Here is an 18662-nt window from a genome sequence, read left to right on the forward strand (position 1 = left end):
CTGATGAATTTTATCTGGGAAGTGTCATTATGAGTGAAGTGTACTAGGTGGAAGTAGAGAAGGATTGTAGTAACAGTATAGTGCTGCCCAGTATAGACTTAGGATTGTATTTTTATATTGCTGTTATCAGTCCAGAATACAGTATTAGAGACCAAGAAAATTGGAGAGAGGAGAATTTACCATGGGAGCAGTGAGTGCTCTGATTTGTAATATACTAAGCCTTAGATATCTCAAATCTGCCTTTGAACCATAGGCATGTAATGGGCAAATCCGTATCAGACAAGTAGAGTGCAGCCCAAGGATAATCTTCTTTTTCTTTCTCTCCTTCTCTCAGCAGTTTTATTGAGGTATAATTGGCATAGAATAAACTGTACATATTTAAAGCGTATAATTTGCTAGGTTTTGACATATGTGTACATCTGTGATGCCATCACCATAGTCAAGTTAACATATCCGTCATTCCCAGAATTTCTTCCTTCTCGTTGTAGATTTTTTTTTTTTTTTTTTCTGAGACGGAGTCTCGTACTGTTGCCTGGGCTGGAGTGCAGTGGCGTGATCTCGGCTCACTGGGAACCTCTGCCTCCCGGGTTGAAGAGATTCTACTGCCTCAGCCTCCCAAGTAGCTGGGATTACAGGTGCCCACCACCACGCCCAGCTAATTTTTGTATTTTTAGTAGAGACGGGGGTTCACCATGTTGGCCAAGCTGAGCTCAAACTCCCGACCTCGTGATTCGCCCACCTCGGCCTCCCAAAGTGCGGGGACTACAGGTGTGAGCCACTGTGCCTGGCCTCTTGTTGTAGTTTTTGTGTTTAGACATTTGATTTGGTTATTTTTTCTGTCTTCCACGTCTATATTTAACATACTCTATCCATCCTTTCGTTTTTTTAATATATGGAACGTGGTAAATGTTTCATTGTCTTTATTCTAGTATTTTTGTCATTTCTGGTCAGTTGCAATTGATTGATGTTTTTCTCTTCACTATGGGTCATGTTTTTCTGCTTTTTTGTATACTGTGGTAATTTTAGATTGCATCCCAGAGATTATTGTGTGATGGCTGTTTTTGTATTTTCATGAATGTTTTTGAGTTTTGTTCTTTGGTTAAGTTACTTGGAGATAGTTTGATCCTTTCAGGTCTTGCTTTTTAGCTTTCGCAGATGAGACTACTCTAGAGCTAATTTTGCCTTACTAGTAAGGTAAAATCCTTCTAACTACTTTATTGGTTTCCAATCAGGAAGCTTTCCACTCCAGTGGCTAAGAATAGGAGCTGCCTTGTATGAGCCTGGGTATCATGCCTTCTTAATCCTTTTAGGTGGCTTATTCTTCAGGCTTGTATAGGTTCCTCACAATCATCCGCTGATCAAGGAGGGCCCTCTGCATATCGGTGGGGTTCTCTTTCTGTGTAGCTGTCTCTTATCCTGTACTCTGCCATGTGAACTTTGGCTACCTTGGTCTCCCTAGATTCCCAGATCCTTGTCCGCAACTCAAGGGTACTGCCAGGATCTTCCTGGATCCCCGCTCCCTGTATCACAGTTGGTGAACTCTTCAGCAGTAAGCTGGGGACACTTGTAGGGCTCACCTTACATATTTCCGGTCTTTCAGTGTCTGCTGCCCTTTGTTTCCTGATGATTTCCAGTGTCTTCCAGATTGCCTATATATTCTGTCTGTTTTTTTCAGTTGTTTTAGGTATGAGGGTAAGTCTGTCTCCTGATACTTCATAGTAGGACAAGTGGAGGTGCCACATTGACACTCACTGTGAGATGGAAACAGGAATTGTGGAACTAGGGAATAATATCTTGAAGACTTTGAGAAAGAGCATCTCCAAACAAGATATCTTGCAGGATTCAAAATAGTTTCTTACAATAGTGACTGACATTGTTAATACAGTGAAAGAAGTCATGGCGTTTATAAAAATGGATTGGAAAAATCTCGAGGAGAGAACAGACTGGATGGATACGCAACAAGATTATAGAAAGGGGGCAGATGAGGAAAAGACATAACTAGGGACCTGAAAAGCAGTGGTAGAGTGAAATCCCTTTTGATGCAATTGTGAATATAAATGATACTGCATGACAGCAAAAGAAAAGAATTTGAGGGCAGTCATTGATTTGAAAGCATACAAATTACTGAATTTTTTAAAAATGTAAATTCATAAACACAAGGGAAGGTAAACAACAAACTGGGAAAATATTTGCAATGCAGGACAAGGGTTGATGGTGTTAATAGGTAAGGAACTTGTTAGTAGAAGCAGCGATAACAAAACAAACACCTGGGCCAGGAAGGCTCAGGGGCGCTATCTCAGGCAGTTAATAATAATACAAAAAAGACATATTTGTTCACCAGATAGCTTAAGAATGTTCAACTCTAGCAGTTGAAAAGAATGATCTAACCCTAACACCTTTCAAATTGGCATGAGGAAAAAGGTGCTGTTGACTAGGTACAGTGGGCACCTTTTGGCTGATAGTACTCCTAAATCAGTGCAGACTTGGTACACAGCCATTCCAGTAGTGATAACCAATTATTTAATGACTGTGTTAAAATATATTAAGTGAAATCTATAAGCAGTAGGTATAATATGCTGTTTTTGCAACCTATTCCCATAGTATACAAAGATACAAAATAATATGTACTAAATTGTTAATAGTGGTTTTTTTCTGGATTATGATTGATTTTTCCATTTTCCTTTTTATCTTCTACCTTTGTAGCTTTAGGAGGGATTTTAGATTCGGTGTCTGGTTGGAAAAAGAGGTTCAAGTACTGGTACTGCTGCTGAATTTGCACAGCAAACACACTGCATCTAATAGAGGGTGGGAGTGAAGGTGGAGGATGTGGCTAGAGCTGTTCTAATAACCCTACTTGACTGGCCACTGTGTTTCTTTACAAAACAAGGCCACCTGCCTATATATGAAGTTCCAGGCAGCTTTATTAGACATTGTATAGAAATACAGCTTTTCTCAGTGTCCAGTCTGATTAATGTTCTGGGACATTATGTCACAGTTCTGTGTGTGTGTGTGTGTGTGTGTGTGTGTGTGTGTGTGTGTGTGTGTTTAGTCTGTAGGATTTCAGAAATTTCAGACTAGTAGATTAGTCTGGGTCAATGAAGGGACAACAACTAAAATACAGTAGTGTTAATTCAGTATTAAATTTAAGTTAACAGATATATTTGTCATTTCTATCCAGAAGATAAATTAATAATCGGGAAGGACTTCACTGCAAACATGTAGCCTCAAAAAATTAGTTTTCAGATTTTAATCTAACAAGATAAATCTCTGATATCAAAATATAATTTCTGTACATTGAGTTGTACTTTTAATAAGGCCTGTATTATATGAATTCATGCCCTATATTAAGTATTCTATCTATAATCTTGCATGTTTCGCAAAAGTTAGGACCATTCATATTTCACTTCTTTTGAATGTCTGTAACACCTGTGGCAGTTTTTCTGGGTGTATGTGCATGTGTTTTCTCTAGAATGTGGAACTGTTAAGTCTCTGGGAACCAAGAATTATTAGATGTGGAATAGTAAGGCACTGAAATCAGGGACACCAGAGTTACGGATTTTTTGTGTGTTTGTATTTTGTGTGTGTGTGTGTGTATTTTTTGTGTGTGTATCTTAATCAAATTGTATTGCTTTATTCATGTGTTTTTTGCAGGGTACTGTGGTATGGACTAGAGAACTTGGAATGACTTATGAAGAAACCTTGGAATGACACATGAAGGATGATAGGAAAGTCATTCTGAGGCAGGATGCTTTACTGAATTGTTTTTAACCAGGGTATCAAACATCAGGAATGAGTTCAGGAGAACGGAAACATCTTAGGTGCTCTGCATGTTCAGAGAAACTTCTCTAGTAATGAACTATAGAAATGACCCCTGAAAGTATAGTCTTAGAGTTAAGATTCTATTCAAGGAAATACTTTTGGCCTGTTGCTGGAACTGCTCTGTGGATTTGGAGACAGTTAGCATCATTGGCCCCCAGCCACTAAATGCTGCTTGCACTTCCCAGTGATTGGGATGACCAAACTGCTGCTGATGCTGGAGGTGTCCGGGCACTACCTCCTTTGAGAATCCCTGGGAAATAAAATAATGCTAGGGGCTGTATTAATTAAAATTAAGTTTGTTTGCATCTAAACAACAACAAGGATAGGAACAAATAGTGGCTTAAACCAGATAGTTTATTTCACTTTTCCATAGAAAAGTCCGGAGATAAGCAGGCTAGGGTTGGTGTAGTAGCTTCACTGTTATTGGAGTCAATGCTATTTTCTGCTCCATCATTCTCAGGACATTATTTCAGTTCTGCAGGGCATTGAGTGTGGCTGGAGCTCTAGTCATTACCTACATTCCAGGCAACAAGAAGGAGGTTGGAGGAAAAGAAAAAGAGTCTTTTTTCCAACTGAGTTAGCTCCTTTTAAGTACTGTGTTCCTATTTTCCACCTCTAACTGCAAGGAATGTTGGTGACTTAGCTTGGCCTGCAAAATACCACATACTAGGTGGCTTAAACAACATAATTTATTTCTCACAATTCTCGAGACTGGAGAGTCCAAGATTAAGGTGCTGGCAAGGTAGGTTTTAACCTGAGGCGTCCTGCCTTGGTTTATAGGTGGCCACCTCTCACTCTGAGCTCAAGTGACCTCTTGTGCATATGAGAAGAGAGTGAACTCTGTGGTCTCTCTTCTTGTAAGGACACTAATCCCAGTGGATTAGGGCCCCACCCTTCATTAACCTTCATTGAACCTTCATTATCTTCTTATAGGCCCTGTCTTCAGTACAGTCACATTTGGGGTTAGGGCCTTAACATGTGGATTTTGAGAGGAAACACAGTTCAGTTCATAGTAGTTGGGAAATGTAGCCTTTTAGCTGGGTGCATTGCTGCCACACATAAATGAGGATCCTGTTAGGGAGGATGAAGAGGAGAATGGATGTTGGGTGACAGCTGATAGTTACTGCCACAGCGGCTGTTGTCTGAGTTTCCCAGGTTGGTAATGAGAACCTTGGGGTTGGAACCTTATGTAGTGTTCATTGGAGGCAGGTAAGGGTGATCTGTATAAAATAATGCACAGAAAATTATGAAGGGAAAGATGAGGGATATTTAGGAATTATTTTTATTTTGGGGGGTACATGGTGTATATATTTATGGAGTATGTGAGATGTTTTGATATGGGCATGCAATGTGTAATAATCACATCGTGGGAAATTGGGTGTCCATCTTCTCAAGCACTTTTCCTTTGTGTTACAAACAATCCAATTGTACTAGGAATTATTTTTGATAAAATATAGTCCCCATTCTGAAGAAAGTGATATCCCAAGGAAAAGTCAGGGAACTTTTTTTTTCTTTAAGAGTATAATTGTAGGCAAATATTTATGAACAAGTAAGGGCAACTTTACATCTTTATTGGTTTGTATTTTTCACCAATCTTCTCATTGGGTGTGTTTTCTACTGTTTATGTTCTTTCTTTCCTAGGCCTCTTACGTAGTTTAGGACAGAAATTGATTGACTCCAGAGTTTAATGGAAAGGTTCTGGTCCAGTTCCTGTATCTAGTCAGTCCAGTGCTGTATCTGTGTATAGTCCTGTGGAAGCCATTGTGGTTGTACCTACTGTTAAAGCAATTGCTGTGAAATGGACTCAGTTTTGCTGGAAAGATCGCTAGCCCAGTATAAAGACGAATGTATGAACATGCCTTGGTGATGTCATAACTGTGGCATGTTTTTCTGTGGTTTTTACAGCACTTTTTCTTTCTAAATGAGAAACTTGGAACTCTGGGTAGGAATCACATTCTCCTCTTTTAGCAGCTTTGCTGAGATGTAATTCACATATTCTGCAGTTACACATTTAAAGTGTATAGTTCATTTGCTTTTAGTATATTTAGTATATTTACAGAATTGTGCATCTGACACCTTATTCAGTTTTTGGATATTAGCCCAAGTAGGTACCCTGTATCACTTCGCTTTCAACTTATTCAGTTTTAAAAAGAAACTACAGTGAGCTAAACTATTAGTAGAGATATTCCATAATACTAAAATTTGATCTTTAAAATAAGACATAATATTGTAACTGTTTTCATTCTGTAATTTCTATATAGTAATGAAATATCTTTCATTTCAGTTCTCAAGAATGCTAGCATAAGTATTATATAGCAATGTAGTCATGAGAGTCATATTATATCATCTTTACCATATTCTCTTGGTTAGAGGTAAGTCACAGGTCCCACTCACACCCAAAGAAATATGCCTACACAAAAATACGAACACTAAGAAGGTGGGGATCATGAGGACTTCCTGGAGCCTGTCTGCCACAGCCCTTCAATTAGCGAACACTGTAAAAAATTTTGCTTCTGATTTACAAGTAATTTTAATTAACTTTTTTTCAGCTTCCCTCAGTGGTAGATTGGTGCTGTATATTTCACCAGTGATTTTGCCATTGAGATAGTATTTACTTGCCAAAGATTATAGAACAATAATCATTATACATGGAACTTCTTCATGTTAGAACTTTTTTCAGGCTTAATCTGTCTACTTCATGAAAAAGATTACCAAGAAGAGTTTCCTATTTTTGCCTAGACCTGATTTCCATCTTAAAAGATCAGTTCCAGCTTCATCTTCACCTAAATGGTCACTTATGCCACTGATTTCCGGGCTTCTTGTGATTCTGGATGCTAGAGTATCAAATAATATGGGTGAAAGGACTTTGAACTGAAAAGCACTTGTATGAATGAAAGCTTATCACTTAGTATGATTTGAAAGTCTGTTATTTGGAACACTGATTTAGTAAATTGTTATTTAGACCAAGTGTATGAATCTTTGAAGTGTAACTTTGAACCTTAATATTAGTACATACGATTATTCTCAGAGTGGGGGTAGATTTTAAAGTTCTAAGTTTTTTGGGAACCTTAAAGGTTGCTACAGAAAACCATTCTACTAATTGGAGAAAACTTTCCTAAATTTTGGAAGAAGAAAAATAATGACCAAGCACATAAACTTTGCTTGTTTGCATCATAGGATCAGAGTTTAAAAGAGATCCTGATCATTTAGTATGAAACTGAAAAATGTAGTTGATATTTAATGAATTCTTTCATTGTGTGTATGGTTGATAGTTTGTTCCTACACATTGGGGTTTGGTGTGTGTGTGAGAGAGAGCAAGAGAGAGAAACAGATTGATTTTACATTTTTCATTGGATTTACTTTTTTACAAAGCATGGTTAGAAGTTATTAATACTTTGATCTCCAGGTTGAGATTTTGGAGATGATTTTTTATTTAATGGAAATATGTAATGAGTGAGCTCTTTTGTCTACGAGCCACTCATTTTTTATCCCATTGCTTTATCGAACGAGGGCTGAAAATTTCAATTTTGAATAGCACATGGCAATTTTCCTCTTAGAGCCAGCTAGCTATTCAGTTAACTGTTCTCCCACCTCAGGATGGTATTAACAAGAACAGGACAGTATACTAAGGCACTAGTTCCCAAACATTACTGGAATCATCTGGGGGTCTTTAAAAATACTGTTTTCTGACTCCTGTCCCTGGATAATTCAGATGTAATTGCTATGGGACGATACCTGGGCATTGAGATTTTTAAAATCTCCCCCAGGTGATTGTAAGGTACAGCAAACCTTGGGAATAGTTGTACTAACTGAAGATTGAGGCACTGGAATAACTAATGTTGGGTAAGATAGGGTAAGAACTTTTTCGCAATAAGGTTTGCAGCTCTTGGGATTCTCACTTGATAATGCTGTTTGGATAAACCATCATCCAAGTTTGAATAAGATCTTATATTTAGAAATGAAAACTGATCTGCAGAATTAGTTTAATCAATAAATGGGAATTTTTAAAAATCTTCTTGGCAATTTGTTTTTATGAATCCCGTTGAAGCTGTGTCTATTGACTACCTAAATCTAGATCATTCTTAATCCAGTGTGTAAAAAACCAGGATGACACAAATGAAAAACTTCAAAAACCTGGAGGTCAGACTATTTTAGTAATTTAGAAAACATTTTTCCCACACATTAATCAGTACTAAAAGAAAAAAGTTAAAACCTATTTAAAATGTGGAAAAATTGCTTCCCAATATTTTAACAGAGAGAGACTGAGAACACACAGCATTGAGTCATCAGGAAAACTGAAGATCTCCCCTGAACAACACTGGGATTTCACTGCAGAGGACTTGAAAGACCTTGGAGAAATTGGACGAGGAGCTTATGGTTCTGTCAACAAAATGGTCCACAAACCAAGTGGGCAAATAATGGCAGTTAAAGTAGGTGATGCCATGATTATTTTTGGTACTTTAATCCATTAGGTGAAATTTCATGGTGCAGTAATACCACTGTTGTTGTGTTCCTACTTTTGTGGTAAATGTGGGTGTTTAAAAAATTGTTTCTCCAACTCCTTTGAGGGTGTTCTGTGTAGAGGTTTCTTATTGGTGGCACATTTTCTATCTCTTTGGAAACATGAGTGTATGAAGTGTGCATGTTGATTGCATTTTTGGCATGATGCATTAACATGTTTTAAACTTCAGGCCCTTCTACTGCCAAGGTGAGTTCAGGCTGGGCGGCTGCACCCCTGGGAGCAGGGCAGTGCTGCACTGAGCCAGGCGGGAGCTGGAAGAAGACGCAGCACACTGGGTTGGGCAAGGTGCGGGGCTAGGGCTAACAGCAGTCTTACTGAAGGTTTCCTGGAAACCACGCACATGCTGTTGCCACTAACCTCAACCTTACTCGGTCCTGACCGGCTCGGCTTCTGTTTGTTTATTTCATCTCTACTCAGTACTGCCCTGTTCCCTGGTTTTAAAGTTGTACTGAAATGCATACCTTGTGATAATGTTGTCACATTTTGTCCTTATTGTGTCGTGCCACTTAATATGTTCATTAAAAAAAAAAAATGGCCAGAAACAGAGATTTGATCCATAGACAATACCTGGCAAGCTTATGCTGGTACCTGTAAAGAACTGGTGGTTTCCATCTGACTCCTAGTTTCATGTAATTGTAATTTATTCATTTGTTTGTTTAGATGTTTAACAAATCTTTGCTGTATGTAAGATATTTCAGGAAAATCAGCAACAGGGGGAACAACTTGCAAAAACAAAGGAAAAAAAGCTAGCTGTGGCCATACCCTCTCTGAGCTTAAAATTCCTATGGGAACAAAAATGTTTCAGTTTACAAGAATTCAGAATGGATTTGCATATAGTCCAAGCTAATCATCTTCCTATTAGTGTCCTATTTTGAGAGTTTGTCAGAGTGGTTGATAAGAGTCCTTAGTTTTTTCTTGACATTTGAGAATGAATTTAAATTAAAATAAAATGCTTTCTGTGTAGAAGTCTGTTGTGAGCCAAACCTTACTGTAACTATTTTAGTATCCTTCACTGTTGAGCATTTCTTTTTGCTGGGTCATATGAAAGTAATGTTAAATTAGTGGTAGGGAAAATTTTTATGATTCTCTCTATGGGTTCCTAACATTGTTTTTGGCTGTATTTTTAAAATGTGGTGAGAACTATAGACTTTTCATAGGCAGGTGTATATACACAACATTTTGTATACAAACCGTAGACCTCTAAAGATGCACAGGTGAAGAACTCTGCATTATGTGTTAAAATAAAATGTTTTATTGGAATGTGAAATGATTTCTGTATTCCTATTTTGTGCCACTGCAGTGTAAGTGGAAAGAGTCATTTTATTTAGACTCCTGGATGAATGTTGTGTTGTCCCTTTGTGCTACCTGTGTGTGACATCCAGTTTTAGTTGGCTGGATCTTAAGGGAAAGGTTTCCTATATAGTTAAAGTTGTAAACTTTTCTTTCAGGTACTAGGGAAAGTAATTTTAAAAAATTATTTCCTGCTTTTTACAGTTTGTGTTATGTGTGCTTCAACTTTGTTGATGAACATTATTAAACATTTTAGTAATATGGATTGATTTTAGCCATTGTTAAAAAGGTCATAAAGGTAAAGAGGGTACTTCCTTTTGACACTTAAAAGTTTTTCTCACTGATTAATTTGATAATATTTTGGGTTGTATAATGCTTACTCAAGTTTTGTAGGAATTCAAGAATGAAAATAGGAAATTGTTGTCCATCATTTGTAATGTTACATTATCAGTGGCTACTGGCTACTGTGACAGTTCCAGTTGGGATGCTATTAAAAATCCCAGCTGTACTTGAAGAACTTTCAAGGCAGTCATGAGACCTACAAACTGGTTGCTGTCACATGTATACCCACCACATGGTACTACCTAGCTTCGTTTACCATCTCGAATTCTTGAACAAGCATAGCAGTTGGGGATGGGAGAGGATGGCAGTACAACACATCAATTAACATATAGTTGAGGAGTACCTTTGGATTCCATGACTTCATTAATACTGGAAGAATAAGTGTTTTTGCATTAATATGCATTAAAATTTGATACCAATTGATGACAGATGTATGCCATCTCTGAATTAAAGAATGCATTTATTATTGGTTTCTTCAAAGAAGAATAGTCTTTCATCACACTTGAGAGAGTTCATTCATTCCTCATTTAGGTACATTGACTGGATTGACAGGCACAAATATACAGAATCAATGTATGATTAAGGAGGTGTTTGATTTGAGACTTTACGGTTTTAAAGGAACCATGAGACGGTGGTTCACACAGCTGAGAGCTTTCCATTGCTGTTGGTGAAATGAGAAACACGCTTGAAGTAACTCTGTGCTAACATCTTAATACACACTTTGAGAATAAAGAAGGATTGCATTATTAGATGTTAAGCTGGAAATGATCCTTAAGATTTACTTGCAATATCTGTAGAAAAGTGAACTGTGATATTAGCTTGATTTTTTTCTTTGTATTATTCCTCATTTTTAGTTCTGAGGAATTCCTTCCCCAAATTTATTTTGCCATATATAAGAAATATTTGAAAAAGGTGACTTCTTAGTAACCAGAGTTAATTACCCCAAAGACTTAATCTAAAAATCAGTTTTGATATAATCAGATTTAGTGAGGTAACATTGTAAGAGTTATACTTAAAACAATTTTTTGATGTTTGGTTTGAGGACAGTCTCCCAAGCTATCGGTGAGTTTCTGCATTAGGACCTAAGATGTGAACATGGTTTACCCTTTAGTTTTAATTGCACGTGCTTGGGAAAAGGGTCTTGCTCTCCTGTGAGTGGGAGTAATTTGTATACTTGTGCCTGAATGACTAGTCTTAGGGCTGCCTAGGGCAAAGCCAGTGTTGCCTCTGGGGTTTCTTAAAGCTCAGGGAGAACAACCTTCAACTCTTACCAGGGATTTACTTCTAACTGTGATCAGTATCCTTTACAAATAACATTTATTTAGTGTCCTGTTTTGCACGGTGGTGGGGTAACCACTGAATGAAAACATTAGACATGAACAGTCACTGTCCTCTACATAAAGTAGGTGCCTGCTCAGCTCTCTGGCAGGTGGAAATGGGAGAGGATGGCAATACAACACATCAATTAACATATAGATGAGGAGTACCTCATCTATATGTTAACCAGCTCTCTGGTTAAATGTAGCGGGGTAAAGCCCAGAGTTCAGACCAAATGTTTGAAGAGGCAGTTAGGATTAGGTTTCTGAGCTAGGGTAATTCAGATCTGGGAGAAACACCTAGCATCATCAGTCAGAATCAGGATGCCACAGAAAATCTAGGGACACAGGAGAAAAGAGAGTAAATGAAATGTCACAGCTTAGACCATGGGCTTACAAGCTCAGATGGCTGACAGAGGGAAGAATGACTGTAAGCCTCTGATGCCTGACAGTATATTCTCCACCTGACTCTGCCTGCAGTGTAAAAAATCCTGCATGCCTAGAGTACCAGCTTCCCTGTTGTTTTCTAGCAGACTCATGTCCAGATTGACTTCTTGAAGGTATGCATGCCCTTTTCATGTTTGTAGAATATGTGCGAAAAACCAAAGAAACGTGAAAAAGTAAGAATGAAAATGAGAGGGAGTATAAGGACTGAAGTACCTGTCACTAAAGATGATGGCAGGCAGTGGAATCTGAATTGTTGTGTGAAGGGTTAATACTGTAATAAAGCTGTCATCTCATTGAAGAACTGAATAATATTGAGCAGGTAGGTGGGAATAAGAATGTGTCATGTTAAATTTGTCATTGTGGATCATTATGATGACTTTTCAGTCTTCTGCTTGAGAAATTATCTGGGTTAATCAGGAAAAACAGATCTGTTGTTTGAGGGTAGGTGCATAGGCCGGACTGAGTTAGCAATGTGACCTGGTATGCAAGAGTTTCAAGTATTTTCTTTCTGTTGGAGATCTGCCTAACTTGTCTTGTTCTTTTGAACCTCAGCTCTACCCTTTCACCTCTACTGTTTCATTGATGTGAGTCTTGCTGATTCTGGCCTGTTAACCTGATTTTGATTCCTGCAATCCTGCCTCTCCTTGATTATTTGGATTTTGACTTTAGTGTCCTTGACCTGGAGTTGAGACCCAGCCTAATCCTGATGCTTGATAGTAAGGACTAGAGCCCTCTGCTGACAGTATCAGCAGCCCACAGCTCAGCTGTTCCCTGAGTAGAACGGAACTTTAATCTGCTGGTTGAGTAGGCCTCCCTGGTGTAGATAGTATGGTGAGTATGGGAAGTCAGGTATCAGAAAAGTATGGCTTGGCTTGTTTTCCTGCCACTGGAGAGACCATGCCACTTCTGTCAAAAGTTCCATTACCAAATTATTTCAGTGGGGATTATGATGATGAATAATGATTTGAGGAGGTTCATTTTAGTGTTTAAACATTGGTCTTGCATGTTCTGAAAGCACTAGAATGATACTGGGATGGCCTTCAATTGGAAAAGTTCCTTTTTGATGGCATAGAGTGCTTTGTTAGGCCATTTTATTCACTTCCAAAGGGCCGCAGTGATCATATTTGATTATCCAAATCACCTATGGGATGCAGATGTCATGGCTCTTTTGTTTAGAATTGAGACTGTAGTCTAATATCTTAGGCCGTCGTTCGGTCAGATCATGTGACTTACTTAAGGCATCTGTGATTGAGCTGTATTCTTTTATGCTTCCTAATATTGCTTAAAAGCTGTGGTGGTCATATGAAAAGTGTAAGTAGAGCATTTCCAGGAGGAGACATATTCAAGGGGTGTGGCAGGGCTGGCCTCTAGGCAGCCTTGATTTTGAACTCAGGTTGCTTATGTAGATGGGGTTGGAATTCCCAGTATACATGTGTGCTTGTTTTGCTGTCACTCCAAGTTAATGTTTTTCAGACTGTGAGTTTGTTCCATTAACAGAATTGGATGTGCAACCCAAGAAATAAAACAGCCAAAATCAGTACTGTTCGGGGTTATGTGAGGGTGGGAAGCAGACTCTACCTGCAGCCATATTGGAAGCCCTTGGGGCACCAGCTCTGAGGAATTAATAGGGGTACAATTAAGACAGTTTGGAAATGGTTGCTCTAGGTGAATTTTAGTCAATCATTATATGTTTTTGAACATTCTAAAGATCTGGTTTCTGAAACCTTCTACCATCACTTGGTTAAACTGAATGAATTTTGACATTGGACTAAATCCCAACTTACATAGTTATCTGGAGAAAAACCTGTTTTTTGTTTTGTTTTGTTTTGTTTTGTTTTGTTTTGTTTTTGAGACAGTTTCACTGCGTCGCCCAGGCTGGAGTGCAGTGGCACAATCTTGGCTCACTGCAACCTCTGCCTCCTGGGTTCAAGTGATTCTCCTGCCTCAGCCTCCCAAGTAGCTGGGACTAAAGGCACGCACCACCACACCCGGCCAATTTTTGTATTATTAGTAGAGGCGGGGTTTCACCATGTTGGCTAGGCTGGTCTTGAACTACTGACTTCAGGTGATCTGCCCGCCTCAGCCTCCCAAAAGTGCTGGGATTACAGGTGAGAGCTACCACGCCCAGCCAAAAACCTGTCTTACCATACCTCACTCTGCGTGGGTGTCATTTGAACCAGTATGTGATATATTTCCTGCATATTTTCTATCATTCTTTGTCATCTTATGGCTATGCCTCTGAAATTTGTTGTATATGTCAGATTTCTATTGTTACCTCACTTTATTGTCGTAAGTACTGAAATGATGATCTGTCATTTATGGTCTTCAGACCCTTAAAAATTTCAGTGCTAAGATTGACATTGTTTCTTTAAATGTGGATGATGTGGTTAGTAAAGAGGAAGAAGATGATACCACTCTTACCAAGGCATGTCAAACTTGTTCCATTAACTTGGTCCTCAGGGCAGCTCTTCCCATAATGTAATATAACACATGCTTTTGGAACTGAACTCCCAGGTGCTCTGATAATACGTAGCAGAAGGTAAGGTAAAAGGAATTAAGTGGATCTCAGTATCCCCAGTGAGAAGAATGGGGTATTACTATTAATTAATTAATTAATTAATGGGGCTAAGATACAACTGAGAGTTTATTAAATTGATTTTAAAAGACTTGAATGATTTTTGCAATTAAGAATTAGCATTCTTTCTTCTGCCCGTAGTAAAATCATATATGCTTTCACAATTTAAAATAATTGACTTAACAGACACTTATTTTTTCACAGGAAAGAAAGATTTACATCTGTGATCAGCATTCTAGATAATTTGCTTGCTTCTTTTGCTGTTTGTTTTGGTTAATGTTGCCATCTGCTTTGACCTTATTAATGATGGCTTTGTGAGATATCATGGCCATTTTCGTGTGTGATCTATTTAGAAGACTCTAGCTGATAAGGAGGAACTCGTACCACAAATTAGGAAAATAAGAATACCTAAGATTTTCTGCAGCCCAGAGGAAGGTGATAGGATATTGATGTGCTGCTATGGTTTCTAGGATTTTCCAACTTTGGTTTCTAGGATTTTCCAACTTTGTATTACAACTGAATTCTGGACATTTTTGCTGGGAAAGCAGCATATTTGTAGGGTTCAGAATAGTAGGGACACTGGAGGAGTGTGATCCTTGCTCTCCTATCCTCTACATCACTGACTTTGGTTGATCTGATGTCAATCATTGACTAGCAGTGGATTCCCCTTCACATTAATGACAGTAACCTTAAGAGGGATCTTTAGCAGGGATTACTTAATGAACAATGAAGGGTATGTTTATGGCATAGCAGTATTGGTGTTTGTAGATCACAGAAACTGGATGCGTTTTCAAAATATTACAACTGTGTTGTAATATTATATATAAATTATATATAATATATTACATATAATATATATTAAATATTATACAATATTAAATATAATATTAAATATACAATATTTAATATATTATCTATAATATGTATGTAATATATAATATATATTAAATTATATCTAATATATAATATATATTAAATATATAATATATAATATATATTAAATATATTATATATAATATGTAAAAGATTAAGATAATCTTTGTTCTTTTCTTCTTTTGATTTTTAATGCTGAACCTTTGCTATATCACTCTTTATTTTCTGTGGAGAGGAGGTCCCATGTGCTGTGTTTGCTCATGTACTAGTTCTAGGATTTCTGCATGGGTAATTAAATATTTACTAATATCTACCTGGTACAAAAGGTGGACAACTGTCATCATAGGGAGCTTTTGATTTGCTTCTTGTCTTGGGTGTGGTGGTTTTAGCCATCATATAATTGGACAGGACAATTGGCAATTACTTGAAATACAGAATACAGATTCTTTTTTTTTTTTTTTTTTGAGACAGAGTCTCGCTCTGTCACCCAGGCTGGAGTGCAGTGGCATGATCTTGGCTCACTGCAAGCTCCGCCTCCCGGGTTCACGCCATTCTCCTACCTCAGCCTCCCCAGCAGCTGGGACTACAGGCGCACGCCACCACGCCTGGCTAATTTTTTTGTATTTTTAGTAGAGACGGGGTTTCACCGTGTTAGCCAGGATGGTTTCGATCTCCTGACCTCCTGATCCACCTGCCTCGGCCTCCTAAAGTGCTGGGATTACAGGTGGGAGCCACCCTGCCTGGCTCAGAATACAGATTCTTTTGGTAACCTTAGATGATAGTAGGTGCTTATGTAGGGGAACAAGCCCCCTGCACTGAAGTATGGGTTTTAGCTAACCTAGTTATAGCAGATTCCACATAGATTGCTGAAGAGTAAATGCCTTCTGGTATTCTGATTTTGGTTGGTGGTAAATTGGAAATGATGCTTTGCCTTGCTAATGGCCAAATTACTAGTAGCTTGCATTATTTTATCTTGTGTCTATTTGTTTTAATTGGTGCCTGGAAGAATCTCTAAAGCCCTACACTGATTTCCTCTAATGATTGAATTCGTTACCTTGCTGAGTTTCATTGTGTCTGAGTCCTAATTTCTGATCCAGGAACTCACCTGTCTTTTACTTTGGAATACTCTACCTATTCCTAACTTCTCTAAGCAGCTACAGGTGTACCTGTGCAGCAGGGAGATGTATCTCCTACTCTGCTCTTACTGTCTTTTTATACTGCCCTCTCGGACACTCAGCTGAGCCATACAAACACCTGACAAGAATTTGTCATGTGAGAATTTAGAGATCTGCCAGGACTGATGGTCATGTCCTTCCATGTCAGTTTTCCCATTTCTTATGCTCCTCACATCTCATTCCTCCATGCATTGTCTCCATTTTAAAACAAAACAAAAATAGCATCAGTTAGAATTGATAGCCATTTTGTAAGTTTATTTGATTATGTTGCTGTTTTCAAGTGTGTCTGTGGCACCACTGCTTTCTAAAGTCATTTTCTGGACTCCTCAGTTCTTGATTCCTTACATGTTTGCTGATGACTCATATCCTTTTTGCCTAGAATGTTCAGATCCTAGGAACTGACATCTGTCATGTCCTCCGTAGAACTTCTGTTTATGAAGTGCATATATGACTTGTCATCCGATCCTTTTTTACTCTTGAGTCTTTTGAGTATATAATGACCTATTATTTTCCCTTTCTCCCTGCAGGAATGGGATCAGGTAACCCAGAGTGCCTCTTCACATACATTGTTCAAGAGCTTAACTTGGTAGGAAGGAAAACTGGGTTATTTGGGAGAATCAGTAGTTGTCACATCAGGACACCGGCAGTCACAGAATGGGTCATTTCAAGGCAGGCCCTGGTGCTTTGGGATAAGGTGTGTGCTGACCTCTCTAGTAACTGAGATATCTTTGAGCACCCTAACATGGAGATGTAAGGGTTAACTCTGAATCAGGGTGACTGGCAAGGACCACTATCAGAATCAGCCAGGTATTTATTGAGCATCTAGGCACAATGCTACTTGGTGACCTGCTTCTTAGGAACTACAACGTGAGCCTTTATTTTGCCTCGTCTGCAACTCCATCCTTAGCCTTTGCGTTGTCAGCCTGCCTTCCTTTGCCACACTTGAGTCTTCCTAACCTTACCCCTTAATAGCAATCACTTCATCATCATGCGCTTTCCCACTATCCCTTCTCCCTGTCTCTTCCCACCCATGAAAACAAATTTAGAAAATGAAGGGAAATAAACAAACAAACAAAAAGTCACCATTATGATGGGATTGAGGCATAATATCTGAGTAAGAAGGGAATAAATTAGTTTTCCTTGACAGTATATACTGCCTGTTTCTGTCCATCCTCTTATTTGCTTCTTTTTCTTTGCTCTTCCACTCCAGTCCTTAAGCGAGTTTAGTTTTATTCGTTCCTCTTGTCCCTTTTCATGATAACAATGTGTCATAGTCTGCTTTAAAGTTTTTCATACTTACCGATGTTAGTTTTATTGCTAGTCATTCATCCCTGATGAGCACCAACAAATTGTATGTGAGAGATGGATTTGGTAGGGTTTGGATATGAGGCTGGAGAATTGTGTCACTGTGAAGAGAGAGCTCCCCTGGAGATCTCAGTGTAAAGTTGGAGGACACCTAGAACAGCACCACATTTACATTGTTCTTCAGTATCAGTAAAAGAGTTATTTATACTTTAAATTCAAGTTGTTAAAAATGGAGGCATTCCACATGAGGCTAAATATTATTCAAGATTTTGGTCCATCGATGTTATAAGCTGTCAACATTTAAATCTACCAATGACTTCCAGGTGCCATGTTGCACAAAAAGAAGGAAAGCAGCCTTTCAACAACTTGGAATTTGGGACATTTCTATATGATTGGGACTGTTCACCAAGTGGATGTTGCTGTGTTTTGTGACGAGATGGAGTAGAGGACAAGGGGATCATTTGTAACTGAACATTTTTAGCTTGTCCTATGGGACTTGTTAACTTTCTATTACCGCGGCCTAATCCATACAGAACTCCCAACAACTAAATTTGTGGCTGATCCAACCAATGGCATGAGTTGGACTGACAGTTTTAGAAAAAATACGCTTTTTGGAATTTTTTTTTAATTGGACAAGAACCATGCATAATATTAATAGTCTTAAAGCCAGAGAACTGGGAATGTAATCTTTTTTTCCTGTGTCTCTAAGTGACTCTCAATTGGAGTGATGTTGGCATTTCTGACCTGTATCTACCTGCTGTTTTTATTGGCATTTACCTGCTTTATTGGGCTTATATGCAATCTTGAATACAGATTTGGACACCAATTAAAAAAAATTAACTTCAAGTTTATAAATTTCTTTACTATAGAAAACTACTTATATATGTAGAGTAGTAATTTTTGTTTTGATTTTCAATGTTTTCTTTATGTTATATTCCAAATAAAGTAAAACTTGAAATAATCTGAAAATACTTTTTATTATTGGGAAAGAGATGTGG

General features: G+C 38.2%; 1 protein-coding gene, 1 non-coding gene and 1 pseudogene across 7 annotated transcripts in view; 2 read left to right on the top strand and 1 right to left on the bottom strand.

Annotated features, from left to right (window-relative positions):
- The window catches only part of MAP2K4 (mitogen-activated protein kinase kinase 4), a 122952-nt gene that overhangs the window by 52405 nt on the left and 51885 nt on the right, over nt 1-18662 (top strand). For all 6 annotated transcript variants that reach the window (XR_007065381.1, XR_007065382.1, NM_001281435.2 and 3 more), the window contains one exon: nt 8075-8249. Coding sequence is in view for 4 of the 6 variants with exons in the window: in NM_001281435.2 (NP_001268364.1) it covers nt 8075-8249 (175 nt within the window). In the remaining 2 variants the exon portion in view is untranslated. The remainder of the gene's footprint in view (nt 1-8074; nt 8250-18662) is intronic.
- LOC124904155 (uncharacterized) lies at nt 3796-3887 on the bottom strand (annotated as a pseudogene).
- Nucleotides 8618-8715, top strand: MIR744 (microRNA 744). Its single transcript, NR_030613.1, has one exon. It is a non-coding gene; the product is annotated as a microRNA 744 (primary transcript).

Source organism: Homo sapiens, chromosome 17, assembly GCF_000001405.40.
Source record: "Homo sapiens chromosome 17, GRCh38.p14 Primary Assembly".
Taxonomy (NCBI): domain Eukaryota; kingdom Metazoa; phylum Chordata; class Mammalia; order Primates; family Hominidae; genus Homo; species Homo sapiens.